The sequence below is a fragment of the Homo sapiens genome, chromosome X (genome assembly GCF_000001405.40).
Source record: "Homo sapiens chromosome X, GRCh38.p14 Primary Assembly".
NCBI lineage: Eukaryota > Metazoa > Chordata > Mammalia > Primates > Hominidae > Homo > Homo sapiens.
This window is the reverse complement of record NC_000023.11, coordinates 135,878,663-135,893,640: the sequence shown is the minus strand read 5'-3', so window position 1 is coordinate 135,893,640 and position 14,978 is coordinate 135,878,663. Positions and strand designations below refer to the sequence as shown.

At 43.3% G+C, this 14,978-nt stretch overlaps 1 protein-coding gene across 6 annotated transcripts, besides 1 other annotated feature; it reads left to right on the top strand.

Annotated features, from left to right (window-relative positions):
* On the top strand, positions 197 to 12,576 carry CT45A10 (cancer/testis antigen family 45 member A10). 6 transcript variants are annotated; one of them, NM_001385219.1, is made up of 6 exons: positions 197 to 296; positions 1,997 to 2,075; positions 8,291 to 8,465; positions 10,385 to 10,633; positions 11,012 to 11,105; positions 12,326 to 12,576. In NM_001385219.1, the coding sequence occupies exons 3-6, from the start codon at positions 8,297 to 8,299 to the stop codon at positions 12,381 to 12,383; spliced, it is 570 nt and encodes a 189-aa protein (NP_001372148.1). In that variant the 5' UTR covers positions 197 to 296; positions 1,997 to 2,075; positions 8,291 to 8,296; the 3' UTR covers positions 12,384 to 12,576. The 6 variants fall into 6 exon arrangements, with proteins under 6 accessions (NP_001372148.1, NP_001278458.1, NP_001278459.1 ...); NM_001291529.2 differs by lacking the exon at positions 1,997 to 2,075; NM_001291530.2 differs by lacking the exon at positions 1,997 to 2,075 and having other exon boundaries at positions 197 to 313.
* Positions 4,396 to 4,690: an enhancer, noted in NCBI's record as "tiled region #13624; K562 Activating DNase matched - State 18:Pol2". NCBI's record gives its function as "activates a minimal TATA promoter and a strong SV40 promoter by Sharpr-MPRA in K562 cells {active_cell/tissue: K562}" and the evidence as "EXISTENCE:reporter gene assay evidence [ECO:0000049][PMID:27701403]".
* Positions 12,577 to 14,978: the final 2,402 nt, after the last annotated feature.

The following is a 14,978-nucleotide window of genomic DNA, read 5'->3' as shown; positions in this document are numbered from 1 at the left end:
GGTCCTGCTGAGCGCAAAACTTCTCTTCCGGACTCTGGCGCCCCACACAGGTTCCCAGTGTTAGGCTGGGGGAGGGCACGCGAAAGCGGTCAGCTTCCCTTCCTTCCATCCGCCTTGAGCCTTTCCGGATTGGTGCTTCTGGTGAGACGCCTCCCCATGAGCATCACTCCCAAGCACGCGAGGGGGCACGTTTCCCATAACTCCCAAACGGCAAGTTTCTACAAAGTTACAACAGTGGGGAGGCGCCACAACTTCACTGCCATTTTGTGAGGTGCTGCCGCCCCTCCTCCGGCAAGGTCAGGACTTCAGGACTGTGAGTGGGGCAGTTTTTCCCTGGATGCTTTAATTTCGCCCGGGAAAGTGTCCTTTTTCCTCAGAAAGTGTCTTTTCTGAGGTGTTCTCTGTCGGGTGTGTGGTAGGGTTCCCTGGGAAAGTGGCTCCACTCTGAGGACACCGCCATGGGAGCCTGTGTCAACCATGGGGGAGCGTTTTCCTTGGGCACCCCATCTCGGCTATGTTGTGGGTCCGGGGGGCTTTTCTTGGGGGCTCCCTCAGTGATGTGAGGGGCTTTTCCTGCTGAAATGACCTAAGCCCAGGGTTGGGGACCCTGCCTTGGTTGCCTGTGTCAGCCTCGGGTGTGGCCGTGTTTCTTCCCTGCTCGGTGGCAGCCCTGAGGGGGGACTCTGCCTTGGGAGCTCTGTCTATGTTCAAGGGCCGGGGTGGTGGTGGCTGTGCCCTGGACACATGATCACAGCCCTATGGGGTCACTCTCTGTCGCGGGCTTTATCTCAGCCTGTGAGGGACTCTTCCTTGAGTGCTGTTCTCGGCTGTGGGGCACATTTGTCCTTAGATGTTGCTCGCTCTCAGCTAGGATGTGTTGGCTTTTCTTTGGTTCTGCTTATCCCTGATGGGGACGCTTACCAGACGCTTTCTCTTGGTGCTGGGTTTTTAAAATTATTATCTGTGGGTGCTGTCTCCTGGTGCTGTGGGGGAGTGGGGTGCTGTTCCTTGGATTCTCTGAGCCTGTGGTGGGACTCGGGGAACTCTTGTGTCAGCCACGAGGGCACCCAGCTGACCTTGGGAACTCTGTCTCACCCCAGGGTTGGGTGCTTTTCCTTGGTTGGTTCTCAGTCCTGAGGGAGCTCTTCCCTGGGATTCTATCTGACCTTTCAGCCATAGCCTCAGATGTCTGTGCAGGAATCGGGGTCCAGAAATGTTTGAAGGTTCCAGATTCGCCACATGCACACAACTCACTGTGCAATTATTCTTTCATTCCAGCCACTCTTTGGGAGTGTAGTGATCTCTCCTTATGTCTACACTTGCAATTTTGTGCTAATTAATGAGATTGAGCACCCTTTTTAAAAGTGTTAATTTATCGATTTTTGATTGTTTTTTGGGCTCCCAGGCTCGCTCGATTCTCGTGCCTCAGTAGCTGGGACTACAAGCGCATGCCACCAAGCCTGGCTAATCTTTGTATTTTTTAGTAGAGATGGGGTTTTGCCAAATTGCCCAGGCTGGTCTCGAACTCCTGGACTCAAGTGATCTGCCCAATTCGGCCTCCCAAAGTGCTGGGATTACAGGCGTGAGCCACTGCGCCCAGCTATTTATTGTTTTTTTTTTTTCGGAGCACTTTTTCATGTGTTTATTGGTCATTTAACCATGTCTTTTAGGAAGTTCCCTTTGAGGTCTTTTCTGCCAAATTTTATTGAGATGTTTGTATTTTAAAAATGGATTTGTAGTTTACATATATTCTGGGTTTCAGTTGTACACACATGCACACAGGCATATATGTACATGTATTAAAATACATATACAATTTTAATGTCTTCTACAAATCTGTTTTGCTTTTACACTATCTCAATAATGTGTTTTAGATGAACAGATTCTCTTAATCTTATTAATCAGTCTTGTTTATGGCTAGAGCTCTTTATTATTTTAAGTGAAAATCTTTGCCTCCCCCAATGCCATGACGATAATATTCTAAGTTTTCTTCTAGATCTCCTATTCACCTCAAATAAATTTTCATGGAATGGAGTAAAGTCAGAGTCCGGGTATATTTTATGTGATTACTAAAGGTATATTTGAGTATGACTCTTATGATATGCATATTCAGCTTTTCCCCCCAAATTTTATTGCGATGTTTGCTTTTAAAATTGATTTGTAGTTCTGGATATACTCTGGATTCCACTCAGTTGTTGTCAGATACATATATATGTATATATATAAAATATTATATTATATATACTATATATATTTATATATGATTAATGTATATTTTTATATATAACCTATCCTATACATTATATAATATGTAATCTACATATATGCTTTGCTTTTCCACTCTCTTAAGAGTGTCTTTTGAGGAATAGAAGTTTTACATTTAATTATGTCTAATTAAACAATGTATTCTTTATGGTTAGAGCTTTTTTATCCTAATCAAAAACACCTTGGCCTATTCTAAAGCTGTAAAGCTAATATCTTATATTTTTTACTGGATTCACTATCTATCTTTAATAATGTTTTCTGCAGTGGGATGGGGTAAGAATCAAAGTTTGTATTTTCCCTGCATTTATGAAGTGCATTTATTAAAAGCACTAGTCTTTCCACAATGATTTACAGGAGCTCTCCTGTGGTAAATCTAGCTATTTTCCATTTCCAGATTGTTTCTGGCCTCTGTGTCCTCTGCCCTTGGTGTATTTACCTGTCATTGCTCCAATACCACACGGTTTTAATTACTCTACCTTTATAGTAAATCTCATATTTAGTAGTGTGTATTTACCAACTTAGTTCTTTTTCTTAAAGATTGTCTTAGCTTTACCAAACCTTCGATTTGCACATACTTAAAACAATTATCTGTTTGTCAATTTTCAGAAAAAATTTTGTTAACACGGTGGAATTTTAAATGATTGGTATGTTCATTCTGAGAGAATTAACAATAATGTCTCTTAATAATGTCTTCCATTCCATGGAAGGTAAACCAAAGTGCCAATAAAGGCACGCCTTTTTATCAAGCAATTCAAGTCAAGTCAAAATCAAAACTAAAATTATCAAGCAATTCAAGTCAAGTCAAAAACAAAAACCAAAGGGCTGGTACAGGTACACCGTGGGTGATCTGGCCATGCTTCCACTCAAATGGAGTCGGCAAGTTCCAAAGACCAGTCTTACCAAGTTTTAGATGTCCAGACTTAAAGTGCCAGTTCCTTCCTGGTGTTCAGCCACTGCGTTGATCCTCCGCGGGGGCCTGCTGTGCACTGCTCTGACAAGGCGTTCCACAGGGGCAAATGCCTACCCCGGAGCGCTCTCAGGATCTGCATCGCTCAAGCTGGCCAGAGTTCCCAGCAGGGATGCTCTACAGGGCAGGCATGAGCTGCCTAAGGGGCTGCCTCGACTGTCCGTTAATCAGGAAACCAAGAAATGTAGCAGGATGAGCCGCAGACAAAACTCCTCAGGCACTGGATTAAAGAAGGAAGTGGTTTATTCGGCTGGGAGCATCAGCCAACTTGCATCATAAGAGCTGAGTTCCCCGAAAAAGAAATTCTTGGCCTTTTTAGAGGCTTACAACTTTAAGGGGTCCACGTGAAAGAGTCGTGATAAATTGAGCAAGTGTGGGAAATGTGACTGGGGGCTACATGCAGCAGCTAACAGAACAATAAGTTTTACAATGCTTTTTTTCATACAGTGTCTGGAATTTAGAGATAACACAAGTAGTTTAGGTCAGGGGTTGAAATTATTATTACTTTTTTTAACTCCTAGGGCCGGGTGGTGGTGCCAAGGTTGTCTGGCTATTTATTTTACTTTTTTTTTTTTTTTCCAACTTTTTGCTTTCTTTCTTTCCTCCTGTCTTGTGAACTAGGCAAGGTAGGGGGAGGAGGGCAGCAGGAGTAGTAGTGGTCTCCTTCCTTAGCGGGACTACAGGTGCGTGCCACCACACCTGGCTAATTTTCTGTATTTTTAGTAGAGACGGGATTCACCATGTTGGCCATGCTGGTCTTGGACTCCTGACCTCAGGTGATCCAGACACTTCGGCCTCCCAAGGTGCTGACATTACAGGCGTGAGCCACTGCGCCCGGTCGGGGTTGACTTTAAAAAACAACCCCCTCAAATGAAAATTTCAGTTTGTTGTTGTTGTTGCTTCTTTTTCTTTCTTTCTTTTTTTTTTTTTTGATGGAGTCTTCTGTATGGTCTGGGATGGAGAGTGCACTGGCACGATCTTGGCTCACTGCTACCTCCACCTCCCGGGTTCAAGCGATCCTCCCACCTCAACTTCCCGAGTAGTTGGGACCACAGGTACACGCCACCATGCCCAGCTAATTTTTGTCTGCGTTTTTTTGGTTGGTTGGTTGCTCTGTAGAGCCAGGGTCTCACTATGTTACCCAGGCGATTTCATCCCGCTGGGTGAGAAGGTTCTGCATTCCTCTGCTTATGTTGCTGTGCAGTTGTTACTGAAGGTCGCCTGCAGAGGGCGCCAGAGTCAACGAAGGGGAGGGCTGCGCTTCCTGGTTCTCTGGGGCACGAGGCTTCTCCTCAGCACTCTGGCGCCCCCAACAGGTTCCCAGTGTTCGGCTGGGGCAGGCACGCTGTGGCTGGCTACTTCCCTTCCTTCCATCCCCCTTGGGCCAAACAGGATCGGTGCTTCTGGTGAGACGCCTCCCCATGCACATCACTCCCAGGTACCCTAGGGGGCACATTTCCCACAACTCCCAGAGGGCAGGTTTCTAGAAAGTGCCACCAGTGGGGAGGCGCCACAACTTCACTGCCATTTTGTGAGGTGCCGCCGTCTCTCCTCCAGCAAGGTCAGGACTTCAGGACTGTGAGTGGGCAGTTTTTCCCTGGATGCTTTAATTTCGCCCTGGAAAGTGTCCTTTTTCCTCAGAAAGAGTCTTTTCTGTGGTGTTCTCTGTCTGGTGTGTGGGAGGGCTCCCTTGGGGAAGTGGCTTAGCTCTGGGGACACCGCCATGGGCGCCTGTGTCAGCCGCGGGGGAGCGTTTTCCTTGGGCACCCCGTCTCGGCTATGTTGTGGGGCCAGGGGGCTTTTCTTGGGGGCTCTTGTTGGGGGCTCCCTGTCGGTGATGGAAAAGGCGACTTTTCCTGCTGAAATGACCTGAGCCCGGGGGGTGGGGGCCATGCCTTGGTTGCCTGTGTCGGCCTCGGGTGCGGCGGTGTTTCTTTCCCGCTCAGTCGCTGTCCTGAGGGGGGACTCTGCCCTGGGGACACTATCTGTGCTCATGGAACGTGGTGGGGGTGGCTGTGCCCCGGACACATGATCGTAGCCCTGTGGGGTCACTGTCGGGGGCTTTATCTCAACCTCTGGTGGACTCTTCCTTGGGTACTGATGTCGGCCGTGAGGCGCATTTGTCCTCGGATGTTGCTCGCTCTCAGTTACAATGTGTTGGCTTTTCTTTGGTTCTGCTTATCCCCGTTGTGGACGCTTACTGGATGCTTTCTCTTGGTGCTGGGTTTTTAAAATTATTATCTGTAGGTGCTCTCTCCCGGTGCCGCCGGGGAATGGGGTAATGTTCCTTGGATTCTCTAAGCCTATGGTGGGACTCAGGGAGCTCTGTGTCAGCCATGAAGGAGGCCACGTGACCTTGGGAACTCTGTCTCGACCCAGGTTGGGGTGCTTTTCCTCGGTTGGTTGATCGCAATTCTGAAGGAGCTCTTTCCTGGGATTCTATCTGACCTTTCAGCCACAGCCTCAGGTGTCTGTGTGGGAATGGGAGTCCAGAAATATTCGAAGGTTCCAGCTGTGCCACATTCGAACACTCTCAGTACAGTTAGTCTTTCATTCCAGCCACTCTGATGGGTGTGCAGTGATCTCTCCTTATGTCTACACTCGCATTTCTCTGCTGATTAATGAGATCGAGCACCTTTTTAAGAAATTGTTTTTATTTATTGATTTTTGTTTGTCTTTTGAGATGAGGTCTCCCTCTGTCACCCAGACTGGATTGCAGTGCCACCACACCCAGCTATTTATTGTTTTCTTTTTTTTTTTTTTAGCACCATTTTATGTGTTTATTGGTCATTTAACTATGCCTTTTATGAAGTTCCTTTTCAGGTATTTTCCCCCAGCTTTTACTGAGATGTTTGTATTTTAAAAATGGATTTGTAGTTTCCATATATTCTGTATTTGAGTTATACGCACAGGCACACAGGCGTATATGTACATATACAAAAATACATATACAATTTTAGTATCTTCTATAAATCTTTTTTGCTTTTACACGATCTCAATAATGTGTTGTAGATGAACAGATTCTCTTAATTTTATTAATTAGTGTATTATTTATGGATAGTGCTTTTTATTATTTTAAGAAACATCTTTGACTCACCCAATGCCATTACGATAATATTCCTTTTCTTAAAATTATACTTTAAGTTCCGGGATACATGGGCAGAACGTGCAGGTTTGTTACATAGGAAGACACATGCCATGGTTGTTTGCTGCACCCATTGACCCGTCATCTACCTTAGGTATTTCTCTAACGCTATCCCTCCCCTAGCCCCCCAACCCCTGACAGGCCCCACTGTGTGATGTTCTTCTCCCCGCGCCCATGTGTTCTCATTGTTCAACTCCCACTTATGAGTGAGGACACGTGGTGTTTGGTTTTCTGTTCCTGTGTTAGCTTGCTGACACATGTCCCTTCAAAGGACGTGAACTCATTCTTTTTTATGGCTGCATAGTATTCCGTGGTGTATATGTACCACATTTTCTTTATCCAGCGTCGTGGCAGGCGCCCGTAATCGCAGCTACTCAGGAGGCTGAGGCAGGAGAATTGCTTGAACCTGGGAAGTGGAGGTTGCAGTGAGCAGAGACTGTGCCACTCCACTGCAGCCTGGGTGACAGAGCGAGGCTCCGACTCAAAAAAAAAAAAATGTCTTCCAATGCATGGAAAGAATATTTTTCTCCATTTACTGCAGTCTTGAATTTCTCTGAGTGATGTTTTATAATTTTTGTGAAGTACTCTAGCACATCTTGATTAGATTTATTCCTAAATATTTGATGTTTTTGGAACTGTTTTTAATGACATTTGAAATCTCATATTCTAATTATTCGTTATACAGAATTGCCATTCTGTATAATGCCATTCATTATACAGAATTGCTATTCATTATACAGAAATGCCATTGGTTTTCATTGTATCTAGTAAGTTGACTAAATTTGCTTATTAACTGTAATGATTTTATTCTTCTGCATTTTTCTATGTACAGAACAATGTCATCTGTGAATAATGACAGTTTTATTTCTTTCCAAATTTTAAACCTATTGTATTTTCCTGATGATATGGCACTTTTTGGAACCTCCAGTAAATTGTTGAATGGATAGTGGACATCTTTGTCTTGTTTTCAAACTCAGGGAGAAAATACTGATACGTCACTATGAAGTATGGCATTTAAAAATTTTTTGTACATATGCTAACCAGAATAGGAAAGTTGCCCTTTTTCCTAAGTTGGTGATAGTTTTTATCACGAATGGACTTTAAACATTGATCCATGTATGAAAATGATCATGCAGTGTTTCCCTGTTTTTGTTGTTGTTGTTGTTGTTGTTGTTAATGTGGTGCACTACATTTGTCGATTTTCAAATGTTAAATCAGTGTTGCCTTTCTGCAATATACTCCACCATGGCTGATGTATGTCCTTTTTAAGTACTAGTACATTTTATTTGCTCACCCTTAGTTTGGAATTTTTGTGTCTAAGTTCGGGGTGATCTTGGCTTGTATTTTTGGCTTGATCTTGTAGTTTTTCATTCTTCTAAATTCCTTGTCAGATGTTGTTATCAGTTTTGTATCAATCTTCTAATAAGGGTTCCTAATAAGGGTTAATACACGTTGGTTTATGCATCTATTTGAATATATAAGCATAAATACTTATATATTAAATATATATGATATATAATATATAATTTAAAATATAATGTATAATAAGGGTTAATACAGATTGGTTTATACATCCATTTTTTCTAATAAGGGTTAATACAGATTGGCTTATACATCTTCAAATAGGTAATAATATTTTTATCTATTTTTGGTTGATGACAGCTGCTTATTCCACAAGCATTCTGATTGATTTGGTTATACCATCTTTCTTCTGTTTTACTTTGTGTACATTAAAATTAGGTTTCTTTTCCTGAGAACAGAGTGTTTGTTGAGACTTGGTAAATCTTGGCTCATGATTAAAAGTGAAATTAATGATTCAAAGTCTTGGTTGTATACACATATGCAGATTGCTTGCCATTTTGTGATTGTTAGATTTTTGTCATGAATGGAATATATTCATTGATGTTTTTCAGGAAACAATGACCGATAAAACAGAGAAGGTGGCTGTAGATCCTGAAACTGTGTTTAAACGTCCCAGGGAATGTGACAGTCCTTCGTATCAGAAAAGGCAGAGGATGGCCCTGTTGGCAAGGAAACAAGGAGCAGGAGACAGCCTTATTGCAGGCTCTGCCATGTCCAAAGAAAAGAGTAAGTAAGCCTGTCCTCACGTCCTCCTCATGCTCCTGCCTCATCCCCTCCAGAGAAACTGTCCTTGTCAAGGTTAACAGTTTCGGCTGACATTGCCATTAACTTCTCAGCAGCATTTGACAGTTGTTCACTCGCTTCTTCATGAAAACCTTCTAGGATTTCCATTTCCGACAATCTTTTTTTTTTTTTTAATTTCTTGTCCGTATTGGTGAATCCCTATCATTTTTTTCTTGAGATGGAGTTTCGCTCTTCTCAGCCAGGCTGGAGTGCAGTGGCGCGATCTCGGCTCACTGAAATCTCCGTCTCCTGGGTTCAAGTGATTCTTCTGCCGCAGCCTCCCGAGTAGCGGGATTACAAGCACCAGCCACCACACCCAGCTAATTTTTGTAAGTTTAGTAGAGATGGGGTTTCGCCATGTCGGCCAGGCTGGTCTGGAACTCCCCCCCTCAGGTGATCCACCCACCTCAGCCTCCCAAAGTGCTGGGATTACACGCACGAGCCACCGCCCCCGACCCCATCATTGTTTTTTTCTACATTTCTTTTTCTTCTCTTCTCTAAATACTGTAAAAAATTCCTGAACCCCAGCATCTCTCTCTCTCCTTCTATTCCACTCTGCCACGATCAATCACTGAGCTCCTGAGATACCTCCATGTTTCCCATTATTTCCCGCATCAAACACATACCCTCCAACCCTGCAGCCGGGTCATGATGTTGGCATGTAAATCACGTGATGCCATGTCGCTCCTGAACACCCATCCTCAACACTCCTAAGCACTCAGAACCGACTGCGAAGCAGCTTTGGTCTGCGAGGTTCTGCGTGGCCTGGCCTCCGTCACCCTCTCCTCACACGGGCCCCATCATCTCCTGACTCTCTCTGCTACTGTCCTTCACCCCATAGTGCCCGGTCCATCCCCACTCCAGCCCATATCCTTGGCCTCACCGCAACCTGGAACTCCCCCTCTGCCTCTGCGCAGGCAGCTCTGCTTTTTCCTTCAAGCCCTGCCCAAGGGTACCTCCACAGAAGGCTCTGCCCAACCAGCAGCAGCTCCTGGGGCTCCCTCTGCTGCTGTTGCCCACAGGCCTGTGGACTGCTTCCTTACCACTAGCCCAACACTGTATGTTTCATTTGCTCATTGTGCACGTACTGTCTGACCGCCCCATGAGGATGTGAGCTCCACAAGGGCAGGGAACGTTGCTCTCTGGGCTGTTTACTGCTGATCCCCAGCTACCGGCACGCTGCCTGCCACAGACGATGAATAAATGAGAGGTGTCAGACCTGGAGTGAAAAGAAAGTCACTTTTGTGAGACAGAAAGGAAGGATGAGGAAAATCATACAGTAAAAGGGACTTTTTGGTGGTGGAGTGCGTATAGAACTTTTAGCAGTAATGGCCGCCTCTATTTTCTCAGAATGTGTTTGATATAACAGGAGACCGGTTGAGTTGTATCCCAGTTGCCTGGGTTCCAGCTCAGTAAAGCATGGCAGTTTGTAAGTGAGTTTGAGAAATCATGATATCAAGTGAGACTTGCTGCTTTCACCTTGTAAAGCATAACAAGCTGAAACTGTCCCATGAGTACCAGGGATCTGTGAATGTTGCTTTAGAGTTGTACTGCCTTACTTGGTTTCCATATCTATTCAAGGCGACAGAAAATAGGAGGTGGTTTTATTGTATTATGTGTCCTGGCCTCCGTTTGTCAGGCCTGGGATTTCTCCCTGGTGTATCCTCCCATTTATGAAATAAATAATTCCCTAGAAACTGAGGAGCACATAGATGTACCCAGAGGGGTGATGAAACACACGTATCTCACAGCTCAACTTCTCAGTTTGATTTCCAGATCTGTCATTCATGAGGTTTATGTGGAGGGGAAAGAAAGTGGTCAAACACCAACTGATGGCTTTTACTCAAAATTTGTTTCACCAGAGCTTATGACAGGACATGCTATTCCACCCAGCCAATTGGATTCTCAGATTGATGACTTCACTGGTTTCAGCAAAGATGGGATGATGCAGAAACCTGGTAGCAATGCACCTGTGGGAGGAAACGTTACCAGCAATTTCTCTGGAGATGACCTAGAATGCAGAGGAATAGCCTCCTCTCCCAAAAGCCAACAAGAAATTAATGCTGATATAAAATGTCAAGTAGTGAAGGAAATCCGATGCCTTGGACGAAGTAAGTAGTGTAAGAACGTCTGTTTTATAAAACTGTAGGAAGTCACTCTTTCTATGATTCAGAAGATATCCATGTTACCTCTTGAGGCTCATTCTTTGCCAGAGTTGAGACTGCACATAATTTATGGTGGTTCCTCTTTTCTTTGACTAAAGCATGTACATTTTTTCTTTTTCTTTTCTTACTTGGTTATGGTTAAAGGAGTTACATTCGTATGTATGTGCAGGTGTCTTTTTTATTATTTAGGTTTTGTATGTGCAGGTATCTTGATTTAAGCATTTAAAACATTTCAGCCTCTGAAGCATGATTGCTGAGGTGTAGATTCACTTCTATTCTTCTTTATATTTGATAATACTGAAGTTTTTTTTTCAACATCTTCAGAATATGAAAAAATCTTCGAAATGCTTGAAGGAGTGCAAGGACCTACTGCAGTCAGGAAACGATTTTTTGAATCCATCATCAAGGAAGCAGCAAGGTGGGTAGAAATAGGAACTGTCCAATTTCTTTAAGCACTTGGGCTCAATAGAGTACTGGGGATGAGCGTTGGGGAACAGCCCCTGCCTTGCGTTTCTCAAACCCTGGTCCTCACTCACAGTTATGGCTGTCTCCACAGTTACTTAGGCTAATGTTATCTGAGTCTAACTCATTCTTCGAAGACTATGGAGACTTCCATTTTCACCATAGTCTGAGGTGCGCATTGTCCCTCAATTGACACTCTTTGTATTTGCTAGACTACCTCTTTTTAAAAAATTTGTGTAGGCACATAGCAGATGCATATATTTCTGGGCTATATGAGATATTGTGATACGGACAACAATGTGTAATAATCACATCAAGGTAAGTGGGGTTTCTATCACCTCAAGCTTTTATCCTTTGCGTTACAGAGAATACAATTATACTCTTCATTATTTTTAAATGTGCAATTAAATTATTACCAACTATAGTCACCCTGTTGGGCTATGAAATACGACATCTTATTTATTCCATACTTCTACGTATTAATCATCCCCACTTCCCACACCCTCCACCCCCACTAACCTTTGTAGCCTCTGGTAACTGTCATTCTACTCTCTATCTCCATTAGTTCAGTTGTTTTACACTTTTACTCCCAAAAATAAGTGAGAACATGTGAAGTTTGTCTTTTTGTGCCTGGTTTATTTCACTTAACATAAGGGCCTTCGGTTCTATCCGTGTTGTTGCAAATGACTGAATCTCATTCTTTTTTTTATGGCTAAACAGTACTCTATGGTGTATATGTACCATATTTTCTTTACCCATTCACGTGTTAGTGGACACTTAGGTTGCTTCCAAATCTTGGCTACTGTGAATGGTGGTGCAGGAAACATGGGAGTGCAGATATCTCTTTGGTACACTGACTTCCTTTCTCTTGGGTATATACCCAGCAGTGGGATTGCTGGATCATATGATAGCTCCATTTTTAGTTGTTTGAGGAACCTCCAAACTGTTCTTCATAGTTGTTGTAGTAATTTATGTTCCCACCAACAGTGTATGAGGGTTCCCTTTTCTCCACACCCTTGCCAGCATTTGTTATGCCGGCTAGACTGCCTCTTACCATGCAGATACATTTCTATTTCCATGCTGACTGTTACTTCATCTTTCTATCTGTCACAGCGCTTCCTACAGCATAGGTTCTTTGGCTATCTTTTGGTTAATGACATGTCTCTTTCTCTTCAGATGTATGAGACGAGACTTTGTTAAGCACCTTAAGAAGAAACTGAAACGTATGATTTGAGAATACTTGTCCCTGGAGGATTATCACACCCCAAATGCATAATCTCGTTAATGATTGAGGAGAGAAAAGGATCAGATTGCTGTTTTCTACAATGGAGCAGGATATTGCTGAAGTCTCCTGGCATATGTTACCGAATCAACTGGCCTTCCAGAGGCTAAGAAATTTCTGTTAGTAAAAGATGTTCTTTTTCCCAAAGCGTTTTATTTGAAAGGATAACTTGTGTTTTGGTTATTTTGTATTCCCACCTGTGCTGGTAGATATTATTAACCCATTAGGTAAATACTATTACAGTCGTGGTTTCTGCAGCAGCTCACACTGATGTAGCTGGCGTTTATAACTACCTTCTTTCGCTACCCGTTTCGCATTCCCTTTGCCCTGAGATAGCATGTCAGTTGGTCATGATGCTTGGCCTGGCAAGATGACTCAAACCTTCATTACGGAAGAGTCTGAACCATTAGATATCCTGCCTGGATGGGGTTGCTGTGATTTTCCATTAACTCTAATCGAAAAACACAGGAGGACTAAGAAGCTCTCTAGACATATCACACATACTCTTCCTTAGCCCCTCGTGTGGTGGGAACCCGATCTCAATGTTGAAATCTGTATCATCAGCCTTCAACGAAAAGGCAGAACTAATGGGAGATTTTAATGTGTGTGTGTGTGTGTGTGTGTGTGTGTGTGTGTGTGTGTGTGTTGGTAGGGGGTATATATACATGCACACACACACTTTCTAATCTCCCATTATACATATAATACACATTACACATATTATATATACACCCCCATATATATATATGTATGCGTGTGTGGGGGGGTATATCCAATATATATAATAAAGGTAGTTCCTAGATAGGATTGGTCTGATACAATAATTTGGAGCTGCAGTAGCAGTCCCTGTAAGGCTGTTGTTTCCAGATACGACTTGAACGTTCTATGCTTTTTATTTTTTTTAAAGACAGAATCTTGCTCTGTTGCCCAGGCTAGAGTGCGGTGACACGATCACAAGTCACTGCCACCTCGACCTCACCCCAGTTCAAGCGATCCTTGTGCTTCAGCCTTCGAAGTAGCTGGGATTACAGGTGCACCACAGGTGCCATCACGCTGCAATTTTTGTATTTTTAGTGGAGATGGGGTTTTGCCATGTTGTCCAGGCTGGTCTCGAAACCTGGCCTCAAGTGATCTGCCCATCTCAGCCTCCCAAGGTTCTAGGATTACAGGCATGAGCCACTGCACCCAGCCCATTCTATGCTTTTTTTAAAAAAATTAATTCATTCAATTATTCAACAAATATTAATTGTGCCAGGTACTTTTTTTTATTATACTTTAAGGTTTAGGGTACATGTGCACAACGTGCAGGTTTGTTACATATGTATACATGTGCCATTTTTGTGTGCTGCACCCATTAACTCATCATTTAACATTAGGTATATCTCCTAATGCTATCCCTCCCCCCTCCCCACACCCCACAACAGGACCCAGTGTGTGATGTTCCCCTTCCTGTGTCCATGTGTTCTCATTGTTCAGTTCCCACCTATGAGGGAGAACATGCGGTGTTTGGTTTTTTGTCCTTGCGATAGTTTGCTGAGAATGATGGTTTCCAGCTTCATCCATGTCCCTACAAAGGACATGAACTCATCATTTTTCATGGCTGCATAGTATTCCATGGTGTATATGTGCCACGTTTTCTTAATCCAGTCTATCATTGTTGGACATTTGGGTTGGTTCCAAGTCTTTGCTATTGTGAATAGTGCCACAATAAACATACGTGTGCATGTGTCTTTATAGCAGCATGTTTTATAATCCTTTGGGTATATACTCAGTAATGGGATGGCTGGGTCAAATGGTATTTCTAGTTCTAGATCCCTGAGGAATCGCCACACTGACTTCCACAATGGTTGAACTAGTTTACAGTCCCACCAACAGTGTAAAAGTGTTCCTATTTGTCCACATCCTCTCCAGCACCTGTTGTTTCCTGACTTTTTAATGATTGCCATTCTAACTGGTGTGAGATGGTATCTCATTGTGGTTTTGATTTGCATTTATCTGATGGCCAGTGATGATGAGCATGTTTTCATGTGTCTGTTGGCTGCATAAATGTCTTCTTTTGAGAAGTATCTGTTCATATCCTTCGCCCGCTTGTTGATGGGGTTGTTTGTTTTTTTTCTTGTAAATTTGTTTGAGTTCGTTGTAGATTCTGGATATTAGCCCTTTGTCAGATGAGTAGACTGCAAAAATTTCCTCCCATTCTGTAGGTTGCCTGTTCACTCTGATGGTAGTTTCTTTTGCCGTGCAGAAACTCTTTAGTTTAATTAGATCCCATTTGTCAATTTTGACTTTTGTTGCCATTGCTTTTGGTGTTTTAGACGTGAAGTCCTTGCCCATGCCTATGTCCTGAATGGTATTATAGCCTAGGTTTTCTTCTAGGGTTTTTATGGTTTTAGGTCTAACATGTAAGTCTTGAATCCATCTTGAATTAATTTTTGTATAAAGTGTAAGGAAGGGATCCCATTTCATCTTTCTCCATATGGCTAGCCAGTTTTCCCAGCACCATTTATTAAATAGGGAATCCTTTCCCCATTTCTTGTTTTTGTCAGG

Coding starts and splice junctions, on each gene's coding strand:
- CT45A10 (NM_001291529.2), top strand. CDS start 8,297: ATGACCGATAAAACAGAGAAGGTGGCTGTAGATCCTGAAACTGTGTTT. Junction 8,466..10,384: donor TGCCATGTCCAAAGAAAAGA/GTAAGTAAGCCT, acceptor TTGTTTCACCAG/AGCTTATGACAGGACATGCT. Junction 10,634..11,011: donor AATCCGATGCCTTGGACGAA/GTAAGTAGTGTA, acceptor CAACATCTTCAG/AATATGAAAAAATCTTCGAA.